The sequence below is a fragment of the Homo sapiens genome, chromosome 5 (assembly GCF_000001405.40).
Source record: "Homo sapiens chromosome 5, GRCh38.p14 Primary Assembly".
Taxonomy (NCBI): Eukaryota; Metazoa; Chordata; class Mammalia; order Primates; family Hominidae; genus Homo; species Homo sapiens.
In genome coordinates this window covers 60,277,581-60,296,892 of record NC_000005.10, presented here as the reverse complement: position 1 = coordinate 60,296,892, position 19,312 = coordinate 60,277,581, and the positions used below count along the sequence as shown (strand labels likewise).

At 35.6% G+C, this 19,312-nt stretch overlaps 1 protein-coding gene across 12 annotated transcripts in view; it reads left to right on the top strand.

Moving 5' to 3' along the window:
* Positions 1-19,312, top strand: part of PDE4D (phosphodiesterase 4D) — a 1,553,091-nt gene that overhangs the window by 225,236 nt on the left and 1,308,543 nt on the right. Inside the window, exon 2 of one of the 12 annotated variants that reach the window (XM_047417295.1) lies at positions 18,729-18,877. The exons of the other annotated variants lie outside the window; for them this stretch is intronic. The gene's annotated coding sequence lies outside the window, so the exon portion shown is untranslated. The remainder of the gene's footprint in view (positions 1-18,728; positions 18,878-19,312) is intronic. 12 annotated transcript variants of the gene reach the window in all.

Sequence of the window (19,312 nt, the reverse complement as noted above, 5' to 3'; positions counted from 1 at the left end):
CACTGTTCAACTCCCACTTATGAGTGAGAACATGTGGTGTTTGGTTTTCTGTTCCTGTATTAGTTTGCTGAGAATGATGGTTTCCAGCTTCATCCATGTCCCTGCAAAGGACATGAACTCATTCTTTTTTATGGTGGCGTAGTATTCCATGGTATATGTGCCACATTTTCTTTATCCAGTCTAATATTGATGGGCATTTGGGTTGGTTCTAAATCTTTGCTGTTGTGAAAAGTGCTGCAATAAACATATACGTGCATGTGTCTTTTGCAATAGCATGAGGGAAGGAGATTGGAAAACATTGACTCATTGTACAATTTAAATACGCCAACTTTGTCAACTTTTATTACAACTGGAAAGCACTTATGGTACTTATTAGAAAGAAAGTGTGTGTGGATACGTATGTGTGTAAAAATATGGCTCTTCTTAAAAGGAGGCTTACCCAGTCATTTTTTTTTGAATAATAGCTGCATTGGAGGTAAGAAGGTACCTCAAGACATTTTCTCTAATTGTGCAGGAAAAAACAAATAAAGGAGATGAAGACTAGGCTGCTGTCATTCTGTGCCATCTCTGACATCTATGGAAAGCCTAGAGGCCCAAGAATACTTCCTCCCCAGGGTGCTATTGCAGTATCTTCAGGGTCCTGAGTCTGAATGTTCCTATTTTATGTAAGCATTGTACCCAGAAGAATGGGTCAGAACCTCTCCTATGGTCTGAATGTTTGTGTCCCTCCAAAATTCATATGTTGAAGTCCTCACCTCCAAGGTGATTGTATTAGGAGTTGAGGCCTCTAGGGGGTGTTTAGGTGATCCTCATGAATAGGACTGGTGCTCTTATAAAAGAGGCCCTAGGGATCTCCGTTAACTCTTCCACCATGTGAGGACACCGTGAGAAGGTGCCATCTATGATGAAGCTGGCCCTTATTAGACATCAAATTCTCTGGTTCCTTGATCTTGGACTTCCCAGTCTACAGAATGTGAGAAATAAATTACTGTTGTTTATAAGCCATTGTGTTTGTGGCATTTTGTTTATGGCAGCCCAGGTGGACTAAGACAGCCTTTTAATAGGCAAGGGGATCTAAAGACATAGGTGAACCAAGCAAGTCAGTCTGCAGCTCAGAAAACTCAAGTCCCCATTCAGGCAGCTGCCTGATGATGTTAGCTGTAATCTCCTGTGTTTGTGCCTGACTTGCTGCCTCAGTTTAGCTCAGTGGTTCTCAACTGGGGGCAACTTTGACCATAGGGACATTAGGCAACGTCTGGAGACATTGTCACAGCTAGAGGAAGGGTGCTACTGCCATCTAGTTGGTAGAAGCCAGGGTTGCTGCTAAACATCCTGCAGTGCACGGGACAGCACCTCCTCCCATCCCAGCAAGGAGTCATCTGTAGGAATATTTGATAAAAGCCATCTACATAAAAGCCCAACAGCTCACATCATAATTAAAGATGAAAGACTGCTTTTCCCATAAGATTGGGAACAAGGTAGTAATGACTGTTCTCAAATCTCTATTCAACATTTTACTGAAGGTCTTAGCAACAGTGCAAGAAGAATAATTAAAACTCATACAATTTGCAAAGCAAGAAGTAAAGCAGCTTTTATTCACGTATGACATAAACAGATACTTAAATAACCATAAGGAATAGCTTCCATAAAGGGGACTTGAACCAATAAGTGAGTTTAGAAAGGTCTCAGTATCTCAGTCAATACAAATTTAATCATGTTTATAAATACAATGGACAATTAAAACTAAATATTTAAACATTTCATTTCTTATAATGCCAGAAAATAGAAAATACTTAGTAGCAAATTTAATGAAATATGTGCACAATTCTTATACTGAAAACTATAATTTACCAAGATAAATTTAAGAAGACTTCAATAAATGGAGAGATATACTTTGCTCATTGATCAGAAGACTCAATAACAATTTAGGATATTAATTTTTCCTGAATTAATCTATATATTCAAATTTATCTTAATCTTCATCACAATGGCTTTTATTTTATAGGAATTGACAAGCTTATTCTAAAATTTATATGGGAGAGTAAAGAAGGTAGAATAGTCAGAATAATCTTGAAAAACAACAGCAATTCTACCTGACTCTATAAAATATAGTTGTATTATAACTGTAAAAATACAGTTGTATTAAAGATTATGAGGTTTTGACATAAGGATAGACAAATAAATGAAGGAAATAAAAGAGTCCAGAAATAGACACACATTTATAAAGTAAATTGATTTTTTTCAAGACACCAAAGCAATTAAATAAAGGAATGGAGAGGCTTATTTATAAATGAAATTGGAATAAATTGATATCCATATGGGAAAAAAATAAATTTTCACTCCCTAAATTCACACCTCAGACAAAAATCAATTCAAGATGGATTGGAGACCTAAAAGCAAAGGTAAAACTCTGATACTTCAAGAACAGAACATGACAGGATTCAGAAAATTATAACCCTCAAAATTGGTAAATTAGACTGCTCATCAAAAGACATACGTAAATGAGTAAGAGAGCCACTAACAGGACAAAAATATTTGTAAAACATATCTGACAAAGGACTTTAATCAATATCACATAAAGCACATCTACATTAATAAGATAAAGACCAAAGAAAATAGCTCAATAAAAATGGGCAAAGCATTTCAAGGGACACTTTACAAAAGTAAATATACAAATGGCCAATGAACACAGTAAAGAGTGCTCCACATCTTTAGGCTTCAGCTAAATGCATTTACAACCACAAAGAAATACCACCACACATCCACTAGAAAGGACAAAATTAAAAAGGTTGAAAACACCAAATACTGGTGAGGAGTTAGAACCACTGAACTCTTACACTTGTTGATAGGAAAATTAAATGTTGTAACTACTTTGAAAAATGTTTTGCAGATAATAAAATGTTACTTTCACCTACCCTTTGACCTAGCAATTCCACTCCTATTGTTTACCCAGAAGCAAATTTTATGTTACACATAAAAAATTATATCATACATAAATACTTGTTAAAATATTCATAAACCCACATATTCATAAACCCACATATTAATCAAAAGAGAATCAATAAACAAATTTTGTCACAGTTATACAATGGAGTATTACTCCGCAACAAAAATGAATGAACTACTGATACCTGCAACAAAATGAGTGACTCTCACAGACAAAATGCTGAGTCAAGGAATCGAGACAAAAAGGAATACATGTGGTATGATTCCATTTCTAGGAAGTTCTAGAACAAAACTTAGGTTAGAAAAAGGGAAAAAGGTTAGCCTCTGAAAGGGAAGACTGACCAGAGAGATGAGAGAACTTTCTAGGGAGATGGAAATGTTCTGTATCATAAGGATGTGGGTTACATCTTTTTTTTGTTTGTTTGTTTGTTTTGAGACAGAGTCTCGCTCTGTTACCCAGGCTGGAGTGCAGTGGCGCCGTCTCTGCTCACTGCAACCTCCGCCTCTCAGGTTCAAGCGATTCTCCTGCCTCAGCCTCCCGAGTAGCTGGGACTATAGGCGTGTGCCACCATGCTAGGCGAATTTTTTGTATTTTTAGTAGAGATGGGGTTTCACCGTGTTAGCCAGGATGGTCTTGATCTCCTGACCTTGTGATCGCCTCCCAAAATGCTGGGATTACAGGCATGAGTGCCCGGCCGCGTTACATCTTTTTAAGTATTTTAAGTAAATTGGTAGTCAGTGTTCAGGAATCCTTCTAATGACTCTTCAACAGGGGTGGCTTATGAAATAGTTCATCAATTTTTTTTTCTGATAAGGGGAGGTTGAGGCAGGAGGATTGCTTGAACTTGGGGGGGCAGAGGTTTCAGTGAGCCGAGATCATAACACTTCACTCTAGCGTGGGTGAAAGAGTGAAACTGTCTCAAAAAAAAAAGGGGGGAATTTACACTCTTGAAAATAAATATTTCATAAGGAAACTTTAGAGTTCTCCAATATACATGATCAAACAAGGACCTGTTACCATTTTGGACCATGTCATAATAGAGAGGAGATAGTTCAAAATTAGTCATATGTTCCAACAACAACATGATTATGGAAACTAGTCTTAGAATTGAGAGTAATTGAAGTTTTTGTTTTTACTGGTATTAATAAATGGTATTACTCAATTCGTTGACAGTACCAGTCTCTGCAATATCTTTTGTTGGGGAAGGGGGAGAGGACCTGTTCGTCTAATTAGAAACACATCTACATTTTAAGAATAAAATATTTTACATATACTTTTTGTTATTAAATCTGCAAACTCTAGAATTGGAAGAAATAGCCTTCATAACTCTTCACTGCAAAAGTTATGAATGTTTGATAGAATTAATTAAAGCATTCAGTAGAATTAGACTTGTTTGGAAGGACTGTAGGATCTTTGGCAAGAAGTGTGTTTTATATTGTTTCAGATGTATACCATTTTCTCTTAAGGTTTACAAGTTAATCAATAAAGATTCTTGGCAGAGCTAAGTACAAAAGAACAATATGTATTTCGCATACCAAATGGATCTAAGTCTTAAGTGTTATTTGATGTCTCGAAATGTTTGGCTTTCAACTTTGTTTAAATGAATAGTGTGTATACAGTGAAGACAGGCTTTACTTAGCCATGCCTAGACCCTCTGTGGATTCTCTCATAATCCTCAGTTATTGTAAACCATACTTAGTGAGACCAAAAGGATATTTTGTTTTGGCTGCATGGTATTATTGGAAAACGGTAAAAATTTTATTCTTTAAATAATGTGTTTTTCTATTCAGAAAAATAATGTCTATAGAGATAGTTATTTCAAAATGTAGTTTTCAATATGCACTTGTGGGTATGAACATGAACAAACACATGCAGACACACAGAGTCTGACGTTATATCTAGAATGTTGAATCCTACTTTTCTACTTAACAGGAATGTTTCCCTATGTAACGAAAAAGTCTGTATAATGTGTCTCTATTATGTGTATTATATGAATTATATATCCTAATTTACTTAACCATTCTTTTATTGTATTGGTCATTTTCCCATATTGCATACAAATTATTAGGGAACATCTGTGTGCAAACATTTTTATTTACATTTTGGATTATTTACTTAGAATAGATTCCCGGAAGTGAAACTACCAGGTCAAAGGCTTTTCCCAATTTATTTTTCAAAAAGAAATTCCCACTGTATTCTATACAAGTATGCTTGTCTCACTGCCCAGTTGCTAGCCTTACATGGTTTTTTTTTTAATTTTGTTTTTTATAAATAGAATCTCATTGTTTTAGTTTGTATCTTTTGGATTACTAGTGAGTTTGAAATTTAAAAACCTGTCTTTTCAGGCCTTTGTCTTTTAGGGTTTTTAGGATTTTCTTAACGATTAGCATCATCTCTTCTCTAAAAACGTTATATTTGTTCGTTATATTGTAATAGGTTTTTTTTTGCTTTTAGCTATTAAGCTTTTAATTATATACTTGATTTTTAATTTAGAAAAGTAAAATTTTCTTCAATGGAGTTCTTTTTTAAATTGAATTCTTTGACATTTTTATTATTTTGTTCAAAGAACCCTATGGGCAAGTGGAATCTTACACTTTTATTACCTGGATAGCGGATAACATTCATAGTTTGATATTTAATCTGTAGCATATAGTTGACTTTTATTTTTGGAATATCCTTGCTTTAAAACTACAACTAAAGGAAGGCAGATGGTTAGCTTGTTTTCTCATTTCCTGAAAATGTCCAAGATTGGAACCAATATTATCAGTCTGTAATGGAGGTTGGCAATGTCAAGATGGTTTGTATCCATGTCAAGATGTTGAATCAGTGTCCAGGTCATTGCTCATTAAAGATGTTGCTCTTTGGATAAACAGGAAACCCAGAAAAAAGATTCTAACAATTTTTGATGCTACCTCACATTCCTTCGAGACAGTGCAGAACATTTCGTTCTTTAGAAAATATTCAGGTCTCTTTCTTTGTGTTACAGCACTTACTATTTGTCTATTTGTATTATTGGCTTGTGACCCTTTTTTGGGGGGTTACAAATACACTAGGGGAAAGAGTATTTTTAAAAATCATTATGCCTTTGCTTTATCTATGTCTGTATACTCTCCTATTTGTTATTATTATTTTTATTTTTGAGACAGGGTCTCACTCTGATTGCCTAGGCTGCAGTGCAGTGGTGCAATCACAGCTCACTGCAGCCTCCATTTCCCCAAGCTCAGGTGATTCTCCCACCTCAGCCTCCTGAGTAGCTGGGACCACAGGTGTGCGCCACCATGCACAGCTAACTTTTTGTATTTTTAGTGGAAATGGGATTTCACTATGTTGCCCAGGCTGGTCTCAAACTCCTAAGCTCAAGCAATCTGCCCACCTCGGCCTCCTAAAGTGCTTGGATTACAGGTGTGAGCCACCACTCCCTGCCTCCTATGTATTATTCTATATGTATTTTTTCATATTAATGTATAAGTTTTTTCAAGTATGGGTTATTCCATTTGAACAAACCATTAATTCTCTGCTCGTCTATAGTCATTTCTTATTAGATGTGTCAGTTCTTAATTTTATCACACATTAATTTCTTTTTTTGTTCCTTATACATTTTGTTTCCTTGAGATCTTCAGAATGTAAATCAATCTCCATTCTGTTATGATTTATAATCATTTACTTCTCAGATGATTCCTCCTTTAGTGCTTTGTGCCTTCTGTTATATTCTTATTACTTTTGATCTTTTATTGTTCTAATTTCACCTCTTCTCAACCCATCCCCACACTGGCAACTGTTATATGAATGGCTGGTCAGATGGAATCCACATATGTTCCGTATGCATGTATAGATTTTACTCAAGCCACTAGTGGAGACACTATTCCTACTTACACATATGAGTACCAACCTCTCTGTGATGCAGCAATCATATCTTGACATATCTAGAAAGTTTCATCCTCATCCATAAATTACTTCATCTTTCTCCAAATAACTCAGGGAATTTTACATTAACCTACCCAATTTAACAATTTAGGAAAAATCAATTCAGTGACATGAGGTAAAAGATGCGCTGTCAAAATTGCAGTGTCTCTAAGGTGATTCTTTTTGACCAGACTAGAAACACTAATCTGGCACTATTTTAGTTGGGGTTTCCTGGTACCTTTCCATGCCATAAAAATCTCTATAAAACAGAACAAATTGCACATTTAATTATAGTTTCAAAAATTTGCATTCTTGGATGAAACTTTTTCTCTTGTCCCACTCTTGCCATAATTGCTACATTGTCTACTGTTAATTTGCATTTTAACTGAGCTTTAAACATTTAACCAGAGGATGGTCCAATCGGAGATTCTATAACCATCTCAGTAATTGGTAGGCAAGTTATTTTTTATTGCTATTTCAGCAGTAGGGAAGTCTCCTCTACAGGGGTGGGGAAAGAGTTGATAACCTTCAAAACAGACTCTTTACTTTGGGGCTGTGATGAGAGAAACAGAACAGAAGTTAGGAATGGTGAAATTAGAAGAGACAGATGGTGAGAGATTATCATGATTTATAGGATCACCCAAATTGTCTAAAATTTACTCCAGAACTTTTTACCAGTTAGGGCAAAATGTCATGCTTATTTTGAGCTCCTATAGATACATTTAAATCAGACATACTGGACTTTGCATTCTGTTATTTTTTTGAGGGGGGTGATATTTAAGGAGTTCTAGAAACAGCCTACATTAGACTTAGTGTTTCCAGCAACTAACAAATTTAAATGTTATAAACATTTTTCTAACGCATTTTCCTTTAAACCACTCTGGGGAAAGACATGAATGTAAGATGACTGATTCTCAGATTATCTGCTTTTAGAACAACCTTCTTTTAGCTGCAAAAACGTAGTGACGGTGTTCTCAATGTGAGACGGGGAAGATTTTAGTGGGCACAGCAGCTGTTGACTCAAATATAGTTATACATGTTCCTTCTGTGTTTTCTTGTAGGTGAATCAGCAGTTTAGTTTATTATGAAAATTAGCAATCTATAAGATGATTCTGAAAAATGAATTCTCAGAAATTTAAGGTACACACATGGCATGATTTGGTGAATATGAAGTGCTGAAGTGAAATACTCATATCCCATTGTGATCATTGATGTTCTTGTTGCAATTATGGTCATCATGTCAAGAACAAAATCAATTTGATGCGATTGAAAATAACAAAAATGCTTTATGTCTTTTAGAGAAAATATAAATGATTCATTGTAAATGAGAAACCTCAAACTGAAAGCACATAAAATACCAGGTATGAGTGTTGCATTTTGAAGTCTCTGACTACATGAGAGTTGTCTGTGAAATAAAATATCCAGTTACACAAAATATTCTTTATAGTTAAAAAACTTTTTTTCATACATATCACTAGTTAACTATTTTTAGTCCCATCTTTCCTATGTGCCCAGCAGTGAGCTAAAAGCTGTGCATTTAATGCATTCTTCATTGTATTTTTGTTTTGTTTTATTTTGTTATTTGTAAAGATGGGAAAGACCAAATGAAAAGATGTCAAACTTTTCTGGGGGTGGAGAGGACATTTGCATTTTGAATTTAGAAACCTAAATTAGAGGTTTAGGAAGACTCATAAATATGTAGCAGAGGTTTGGTGGTCACAGCTAGAAGCTGACCACCACCATGGGGCAAATAATGATTTAACCTCCTCCTGTAAGTATTTGATGTAAGATCATCGGTATATTTCATCTGTGACATTATCCAAGAAGAAGATGAATCTGAGGGAAACAATGCTTGCAGATTTGAGGGGGAAAAATGCTTGGAGTAGTTAGTCTCGGGATAGCCCTAGGTGATGATAATCCTTGCACAAACACAGCACACTGTTAGAACAGACAAAAGTCTGCAGAGGTTAAGAAGACCCTTGTTACATTGGAATCTTTCAATCACTTCTAGAAATATGATTTAGTTAAATCAATATTTTATTTAGCTCTAGGTACAATATTGATGCTAAAGAAGTTCTTGTTGAACCAACAAATGGATGCTCCTTTAAAATGCTGGAGGCATCATAAATGGCATGTTAGCATCAGGTACCTCCCTCTTGGAGCTTACACATAAAAACAAATGTACACAAATAGCAATAATCAAATAAAATATTAGGGGATTGTGTCAAATGAGAGCTAGTGACAACTGTTGATTTAAAGATTCAGCCATTTCAAAGTTTTAGAAGTTTTAGGGATATAAACTAAAGAGTCCAGAGAAAGCAGGGAAAGTATAAACTATTTCTGCCAAGGATGGGGATTTTGAGGCAAGGTTGGATATTGCTATTAGGAAGAAGTGGCATTTGAGCTGGGTAGGATTTTTACATTCAGAAATGTGAATAGGCACGTGTAGAGAAAAGGAGGCAGAGGATTCTGGATTGAGGGAATTTATTAATTCTTCATTCTACATTTGCTGATTACTTCCTATATACAAGATACTAAACTAAGTGCAAGGCACACAGGGTAAATAAGAATTTTAGTTCTTGTCTTTGAAGAGCCTTCCCGCAGTAGAGGAAACACGTACTTACAAGAGGCAAGCAATGGTGCCCTAAGGCCTGAAGGGGGCGCCTCTCCTACACAGCAATACGAGGGTGGAGTTTATTTTCATGGCACCTCAACCCATCTGACAGCTAGGGGAGCTGCATTTTCCAACAGAAGGTGCATTTTGTATATTTGTAGGCTGTTTTATACACTGCTTTGTGCTGAAGTTATTCAGGCATTTCTCTTCCCTCTAGACCTTAAGTTCATGGAGGCCACAAGCTAGGTTTTACCATTTTTGTATCCGTCTGTGCTGTCTAGAGTAGTGCCTTGGACACACAGTAAGGATTAAAGACTTTCGGAATATAATTAAATTTTGCTTTTACTGGGAAATAAAATATATCTCATAGAAGGCATGGTTGTCCTATTCTTCATCTAGTCTTTCAAAGTCTTTACAGTGTGTTGTGTGGCAGAGGCCAACAGTAGTTAATACTGTGTTGAAGCCATACCTTTCATACTTGATGTTATTTTTGAACAATGAAAACTTTGCAGGAAGTTCTCATCCCTTTGTGGCTAAGATATTTTCCATTAAGGGGGAAACAAAAAGAGAAACATTAGCAAGCTACTCATTTATTTCTTTTAAAGTTACTTGTTAGAAAGTCACCTTTCACCCCAATTTCACATTGAATTTAAGTTCATTCCTACCTATCTGACAGTAAGTCAATATTCTGAGATTGTTTCGGAGGCTTCTTATTTTTCCTCAGCTGTAAACTGAATTACCTTTTAAACGATTTTCTAGCTAACAGTAAATGGTCCATAAAACATATGAATAAAAATGAAGGCAAACATTTCATGCTTAAATAGCTATAATGGTAGTCGGTGTAATGGGCTGGAGTTTCAAAAATAACCAGTGATGAATCTCTTAGCGGCCACATCATATTATCTGTGGTTTTTGCAGAAGTGTCATTTGCAGCTATTCTGACACACATCTTACTCTAGTTGGCAATTTATGATGTTTTATTCTATGTAAACAAATGTCTGTCTATCTTTAGAGTACAAATATCTACGGAGATCAAATGTAAGAAAAAAGTGGCCCTGACTTGGTTTCATTGTTGTCAAAAATGGTCTTTAAGAATGTTGTTTTTCTTTAGACAATATTACTTAAGTATCTACAATGGCTTGTTGTATTTCATGGGAATGGTATTACTTTACAGCTTCTGCCAGGGTATGTATCAATCTTCTCTCTCACTAAGGAAACAGACAAATTCTGCTATTTCTTAAACAGTTTTTTGTGGCACTTATAAGAATTATCATGTTTCCCGGGTTGTTGTGACAGACTGAGGATAGCTATGCCTGAATTCATGGTGACGGTAAAGAGAACGTGTAGTGTTAAACGGGCGTCCTGTTTGCCTGAAGTTGTCCAATCAAAATGTCTTCATTGATACCAGCTATTTTCTTAAAGCTCTGTATTTGCTCAGAGGCACTGAAATGTTCCTTTCCCCTTTCCTTGTGCACTCTGAAACATTTTAGAATGCTTTTCAAATCTTGAAATCTGGTGATTGCATTTGAAACAGTTTTATAAACATGCAAACCCACTCATGTGATCTGCTGGGTTTTCGTTGAAACTGCCACTCACATGCCAGGGTTTGTACAAATAGACCTGAAAGGAATTCTCAAGGTCATTTTATTGCAATCCATATTTGATGAATTTGGGAAGTTGTGGGCACCACGTCACTCTGTGAACTTGTAGCAGGGAGCTGAGGCTGGTAAGGTAGTATCTCTTTATTTTCACTTTAGTAGTGTTATATTCACACATAGCTTTTCTTCTTAGGGTAGAAGTCTTCCTCTGCTAACCTTTGATTTTTTTGAAATTTCATTTTTTTAATTCTTCAACTCCCAAACAGATTCGTTGTTTTTCTTCCCTGTAATTTTTTATTTATATCTGTGTGTTTTGATTAAGGTTACTTTCTAGTTGTAATGGGGAGCATTAGGCAGGTTTTTTTTTTGTTTGTTCTTTTCTAAATAATCAGGACTTTACACAAAGTTACAAGCTCAATAAGCAACAGCCGAATCCTTATTCTACATATTTTTCAGCAGAGTGCCTTATCAGACACTATGTCCTCTCTAAAGTCTGCACACCAATGTCTATGACATTCTAGACAGCTATTCTTTAGTACACCTTTGTACTTCAGGTCCCCTTTGTGGCGGTGCATGTTTGCCAGGAATCCAAAATCTGTTAATGACTGTTGTACTTGCTATTATATTATATCATATAATTATTATGTAGACTGATGTAACATATAAGTAAAGAGAAGTGTTTATGTGAAAACTAAATAGAATGCTAGTAAATTTGCTAAAAAAATTACTGTAGAATTAGATGTAGGTGAGCCAATCATAAAAGATTGGGAGGAAATGTGAATGATTCTTAGATTGCTTCTCAAGTGCCTTAACTTCTCAATTACAAAGAAACACTGTAAGCCATAGATGATGCATAATGGATGTTCTTGATGTAAGACATTGTAGAAATCTAACTAAGAGATTCAAACTCAAAGCAAAGGCCTTGGCTCTACATCAAAAGAGTAGCCAACTATGTGCATTTAAGTGTTGCCATTTATAAAGAATACTTGAGGTATTATTTCTGAAGATTCTTGACTTTAATATATTCATTTAACAAACTGGCCAACTACCTATCCTGAATATGTCATATGAGAGGGCTTCTAACATGAGAATAAATCACAAGCCTCTAGCTGTTCTCTATTTTAAAGTGGGGATGAAAGGTGAACAAAGTGTTACAGATTCTCACTATTTGAGTATCTAATAGTGATGGGGAGGCTGTCCTGTTGCCTTAGTTGTCCTGGAGAAATATCATCGGGGCCTCTTTTCTGTGATGCAGCTCATGGCAGAGTACACCACTGTCATCCTAAACTTTTAGCTAAAAGCAGATAACACACTTCTTTTTCATATAATGCATTTGTATCTGAATTAGGACTTTAGTGTTACGGTTAAGACCTACAGGCATTGATTACTTTGGGGTGAAGTCTGGTGACCAAAGACAGTGTTCCTAAAAAGTGCAACTTCCTGGGAGTTTCCACACCTAGCTAGGAGATTGTCTCAGGGACTTTTTACCCAGAAGATAACTCTATTATTGGTAGGCTTAATAATAGCAGAAATACAGGCTACCTTATTTTCATGATTATGCATTTTTAACATTAATTTTTAATTTCCTTGAGATCAGGTAATAGAAACATTAATAGCTCTCTATACTACCAGGCATAGTTACCTAAAACAAGGTGAGTGCTAAATAGGTGTAAAAATAATGATCAAGCTCCCAAAGTGTACTATTTAGTTATTTTGCATGACAATTTTAACAGAAATTTGTCTCCTATCACAAATTGCAGTTTTACCATATCAATTAGTTGGATCTTGTCTCATCTTTCCGTTCACTGTGCTACCTAGTGTGGATGATTCTGCGTATTTTAATGTTGAGATGTGACCACACTGTATTCATTCAGCTGGTTTCTCAGAACTCGCTGAATATGGGACAGTTTTTTTTTTTCCCAGTAGTGAGCTTGACTCTGTGCATAGGAAATACACGCAGTCCTCATGTGCCTTTCCCTTTTCTGCAGATGGTAGTTCATGAGCCTCCCTCAAATATAACAGCAGCTCATAGGTGAATTTATCAAAGAGTATGGCCACCTTGGGAGACCTGGCACATTTTACAGGCCCTGCTGTGATATAGAACAATCAACTCAATTTTTTTATGTGTTCTTTCCATTATTGTAACTCCCATGAGGTAAAGTGTTAAGCTACATTAAGCCTCATTAAGAGAAATTTGAGTTCATGATGCATATGTAACTTCGCAGTAATTGTAATTAGTACAATCTGCTTCTTGAATTTGCTAACATATTTGGGAAAAATGTTACCATTTTTTATTTCTTTTAAAACATTTAATGCCAAAAACTTTTCAGTAGAGCATTTAGTACCTCTCACAAAATTTCATAAGTGGCTTTGATTGTGTGCAGAATTACATCAAATGATTAGGAGCAGACAGTTCATGAAACTAAGAACATAATTTACAACATTTGTAACAAAAAAGTATACTTTGAGTCTCAAAGTATGAGTAAAACCTGAAATTGAATTTTTTGAAGTCAACTATCTCCTATATATTAACCAAAATTTATGAAAAAATATCTATGACAAAATAAGACAAAAGATGGGCAATACTTCTAATAGAAGAGGGAGATAATGCATTAGGAAGCACTCTCTGTGTAGATACTAATGAACCTGAGGGTATAAGATGGAGATAATATTAGAAAACATGGTAATATAGTACATACTGCTCATAATTATAGTCAGAAATTTTACCACCCCTCTCAGTAATTGGTAGAGTAAGTAGACAGAAAATCAGTAAAGATATAGAAACTTGAAAAAACAATCAAATAACTGCATCAACATTTTAGAACACTCCACCCAACAACAGCAGAATATACATTCTTTTCAAATGTGCATGAAATATTTACCAGTATAAAGTATATTTTAGACCATAAAATATATCTCAGTACATTTAAAAAGATTTCGGACTATGTTCTCAAACTACAGTGGAATTAAGTTATAAATCAGTAGCAGAAAGATGCCTGGGAAGTCCCCAGATATCTGGACACTAAATATCATGCTTCCAAATAACTCATATGTAGTGGATTGAACTGCAGCCTCCAAAAGCATATGCCTATGTCTTAACCCTTGGAACCTGTCAATATGAACTTAGTTGGGAAACTGATCTTTGAAGAAGTAATTAAGTTGAGGATCTCCAAATGGAATAATCCTGGATTATCCAGCTGGGCCCCAAACCCAACAAAACGTGTCTTTATAAAAGAAAGAAGACAAGAGGACATAGATACAGAGAACATAGTAATAACAAATTTTATTTGTTTCATTTGAAATCAACAAATTTTTAATGATGATGGACTCCATGTGGTTTCTAAGCTGGAGCTTCTCATTATTTCTATGAAAGCCACTTAGAGGAAAAAGAATGTTTTCACTGTCACTGAAACCTTGGGATCTTCATATTAGACCAAATTAAACAAGTTACCACAGGACTTCCAACCTACAATATGCTAATGCACTCTTCAATCTTCATTGATCAAATGTAGCATATTCCAGATTTTTTTTTACCGTATAATCCTTTTTTCCCTGAATAGTCTTGCCTGACAAATAGAGCTCATTTTGAGAAATATATATATATATATATATATATATATATGTTTATTTCTCTCTTGTTCTTTAAAGATTAATTTCTGTATCACATGAATTTCTGTATCACAGAATCCTTTTAGATTCTGTACACTAGGAATGATAATGACTTACTTGTTTTATATGTTGAGTAATGTTGTTTAAAACGATGTTATTTCTATTGAAATAGAGTATCTCTCATTTTTTTTTCCTTTTTTCCTGTTGGCCAGTCTGGAGTGCAGTGCTACAATCACAGCTCACTGTAGACTCAACCTCCCAGACTCAAGTGATCCTCCCACCTCAGCCTCCTGGGTAGCTGGGACTACAGGCATGCATCAACAGGACTGGCTAATTTTGTACGTTTTTGTAGAGACAGGGTTTTGCTCTTGCCCAGGCTGGTCTCAAATTCCTGTGCTCAAGCCATCTGCCTGCCTCAGGGAGGCAATCCCAAAGTGTTGGGATTACAGGATTGAGCCACCATGCTCGGCCCCTTCTTTTCTTATTCTTACTTTTTCTATTATTTTTCACTTCTTTTACTAAGTTTATTATTAACTAAGTAAGTTAATAATTAACATTTCTTTTGCTTAATTTTTAAAAAAAGGGTTGGTCATGTTAAAACTGTCCTGAATAAGATCTACTATCTATTGAAATAAATTCTTGTTCCTTTCATAAATTTATTATCATTTAGAATAATTCTTTGTAAAGATTTCATAGATTTCAGCCATCGTAGTTGGTATACTACAGAAATGACAGTGGGGAGAGACAGGAATAAAGTTAAAGTAGTGTGGATATAGAATCAGTACATTTAGTGACTTTTTAGGAATGGCAAATAAAGGATTATTGTAATTTCTGTTTTGGTTTCCTTGGAGGTTAATATTTCCTACTGAAATAGGGAAATCTGAAGGAAGAGCAAATTTCCACAGGAACGACAAGAAGTTTGATTTTGGATTTGTGTGGTTTTGAGGTACTTTCTTGTACGTTTGGAGAAAGTATCTAACAGGGAATTCTGCTACTGAAACAAAGTAGAGTGAGAGGGAGGGGTAGACTTAGCTCCCCTGACCTTGTATGTATGGAGAAAGTATCTAACAGCGAAGTCTGCTACTGAAACAAAGTAGAGAGAGAGGGAGGGGTAGACTTAGCTCCCCCTGACCTTGTATGTATCTCTTTTTCAATATTTATTTCTAAACTAGTTTGACAATGCTGCCTATGAACTTAAGCAGGTGCCTGAAATGATTGAAACGTCCTTGTCAGCAGGCAGTGTGTTTCACATGTTAAGTTCAGTAATGGTGAACTTAATGTCCTCTGCTATATTGACCTCCAAAGCCTTAGAGATTTGTGGCCTAAGAATTACACCAGATAGATTTTTATCTCAGCCCTTATTTTAGATAATAAACATATTTTTAATTAGTAAGTTAATAATTAACATTTATAGAGCCTTAATGTGAGCCTGGCCCTGCTATATATTATTTATGTTTACCAACTTGCTTAGCTCTCACAATGATGCTATTTACTGATGAAGAGTTAAGTAACTTCTCAAGGCCCATGATGCATCCTGTTTTCAGGCATCAGGTGCTGAGGGTTTGTTCCAGCAGCCTCTGACATCTGGTTATATGAACCTGAGGCCACGAAGTGTAGCTCTCCCTGCCTCAGATTATATCTATAACTTTGGCTTGTACTTGTTCCTGGTTTGTTTCTTACTCTCTTGTTTTATTTAAGCTACTGTTAGTGACTTAGTAATGTTTTCAGATAATTTCTATTCTGCAAAAGTTAAATTTAATTATATTCACTAATTATTCATCCTATTAAAGAATTGAGACTTCCAGGAAGATGGAGTATACATAGCTTTCCCTATTCCTCCTGCTAAATACAACTAAAAATCTTGGATATTTTATATATATGTGTGTATATATATTTATATATATATATGTATGTATATAGAGGAATACTCTGAAATATGGAGAGAAGGCAGAAGGCAGACTAGCTTGGGGCCTTGGGACCAAAAGAAAAACATATTAATTGCTGTGTCACATGAGTTTCAATCAATTTAGATTCCTTACTCTAGGAATGATAATGACTTACTTGTTGCATATGTTGAGTAATGTTGTTTAAAACGATGTTATTTATATAGAAATAGAGTATCTCTCCTTTTTTCTTTTCCTTTTTGAGACAGGGCCTTGTTCTGTTGCCCAGCCTGGAGTGCCCTGGGTTTTCTTTTTTTCTCATATATACCAGACTTGGAGCTTAAGAAATCAACAACATGGGCTGAGTGTGGTGGCTCACGCCTGTAATCCCAGCACTTTGGGAGGCCGAGGCGGGCGGATCATCAGGTCAGGAGTTCAAGAATAGCCTGGCCAATATAGTGAAACCCCATCTCTACTAAAAACACAAAAAATTAGCCAGGCATCGTGGCAGTGTCTGTAGTCCCAGCTACTCAGGAGGCTGAGGCAGAACCATGTGAACCCGGGAGGTCGAGGATGCAGTGAGCCCAGATCATGCCATTACACTCCAGCCCAGGGGATAGTGTGAGACTCTGTCTCAAGAAAAAAAAAAAAAAAGAAATCAACAACACAAAAATACCAATGCATTACATGGTAAGCAAAAACATTCTTAACAAAAGCATGCTTTCTATAATTAAAGGACCAGAGAGGGTCAACCTAACAAGACAAAACTTTTAGATAATAACCACCATATTCCAGGTAAATAACAGAAAAAGCATTGTGGACCCAGTCACATCTATACCTGCAAAAGCCATGTCGGGAGCTTAGGTTTTTACTTTTTTGAGATTCTGATGAAGTACCCCAATGTCCACACTGGGATAGTGTCAGAAAAGGCAAGGAGGGAACCAGGAGTTTTATCATCACTGAGCTCCATTTCTATTCTCAGTGTCAGTGGAGACCACATGGTAATTCTGGACTTCCAAAGCCATCTGGAAGTAATAGGGTGCTCTTTCTTCTCCTGACTGGGCTGGTGTCCGTGGAGGCCTAGACAATATTCAGGACCTTCACCACTGCCCTATGATAACAAGGCCACCCTCATTACAGTGTTCCAACTGGGAGTTGGAACTCCTAGAATTCTCACCTTCACCCAGCAGTAATAAGGAGCCTCTTCCTAAGATGCTGAATGGGGAATCTGGGCTTTGCATCCATGTGGAAATCATGAGGCAGTACCACCTGCCCCTTCACCTGCCAGAGAAGTGTCAGAGAAAGCCAATTAAAACAGAAGATTTAAATAAGAAATGGCATCTCTTAACATAATTTAAAAATGAACAGGTTTTAATAAATTATTCTTATACCAAGAACTAGATCTCAAAATGAAGGAAAATTGCAATTAATAGATACCAACACTGAGATGACAGAGGTGTTAGAGTTATTTGACAACAGTTTTAAAATAGTCATGATAAAAACGCTTCAATGAGCAAATCTGAACACCTTTAGAATGAATGAAAAAGTAGAGAACCTGAACAAGGAAAGAGAAGCCCTCAGCAAAGAAATAAAAGAGAAAAAGATGAGCCACGTGGAGTTTTAGAACTGAAAAATACAATAACTAAAAGAAAAAGCTTAGTGGATGGGCAGAATACAGGAGATAAAAAAATAATAAAATGGAAGACAGAAATTACCTAGCCTAAACAACAGAAAAAAAATAAATGGGAAAAACAAAACAAAACAAAACAAGAGCCTAATGGGCCCATGTAATTATAACAAAAGATCTAGCATTCATGTCATCAGAGTACAGAAAGAGACGAGAAAGAGGGATGGGATGAAAAACTACTTGAAGAAGTAATGGTCCCAAACTTCCCAAATTTGGTAAAACACATAAACCTGAGTGAACCATAAACAGGATAAACCCAAAGAAATTCATACCATTTCATAATTAAACTTTCAAAAATGAAAGACACAAAGAAAATCTTGAAAGCAGCCAGAGAAAAATTATTCCTTACTTATATAAGAAAATCAATGAAATGGCAGTAGATTTCTCATCAGAAACCATGGAGACCAGAAAGAAGTGACACACATTTTTTTTTATGTGCTGAAAGATAAGAATTGTGACCTATACTGAGTGAAAACACCCTCTTTAGGAATGAAGAGGAAATCAAGACATACTTAGATAAAAACAGATTATCACCAGGAGATCTGCTGTAAAAGAATGGCTAAAGGAAGTTAGCTAAGCAGAAAGGAAGTAACATAAAAAGGAACCTTGGAACATCAGGGAGGACAAAAGAACATGGTAAGCAAAAATATGTATAAATACCATAGACTTTCCTTCTCCTGAGTTTTCTAAATTATGTTTGATGGTTGACAAAAATTATAACATTTTCTGGTGTGGTTCTAAGTGTATGTAGAGAAAATATTTAAGGGAATTATAAGTGTGGAGGGTTAAAGGGACGTTCAAAGAGGTAAGGTTTCTATACTTCACTTTAAGTGATAAAATGACAAAACCAATAGACTTTGATACATTAAACAAATATGATGTAATACCTAGAGCAGCTACTAAAAAAGTTGTACAAACAAAAAGTAAAACAGTAGAGTTAAGCCCTAGCATACCAATTATTGCAGTAGCTGTAAATAGTCCAAATGCACCAATTAAAAAACAGATTGTTACCTTTTTTTGTGGTAAGAAGACATAAAATCTATTCTCTTAGCAAAATTTCAGTATATGATG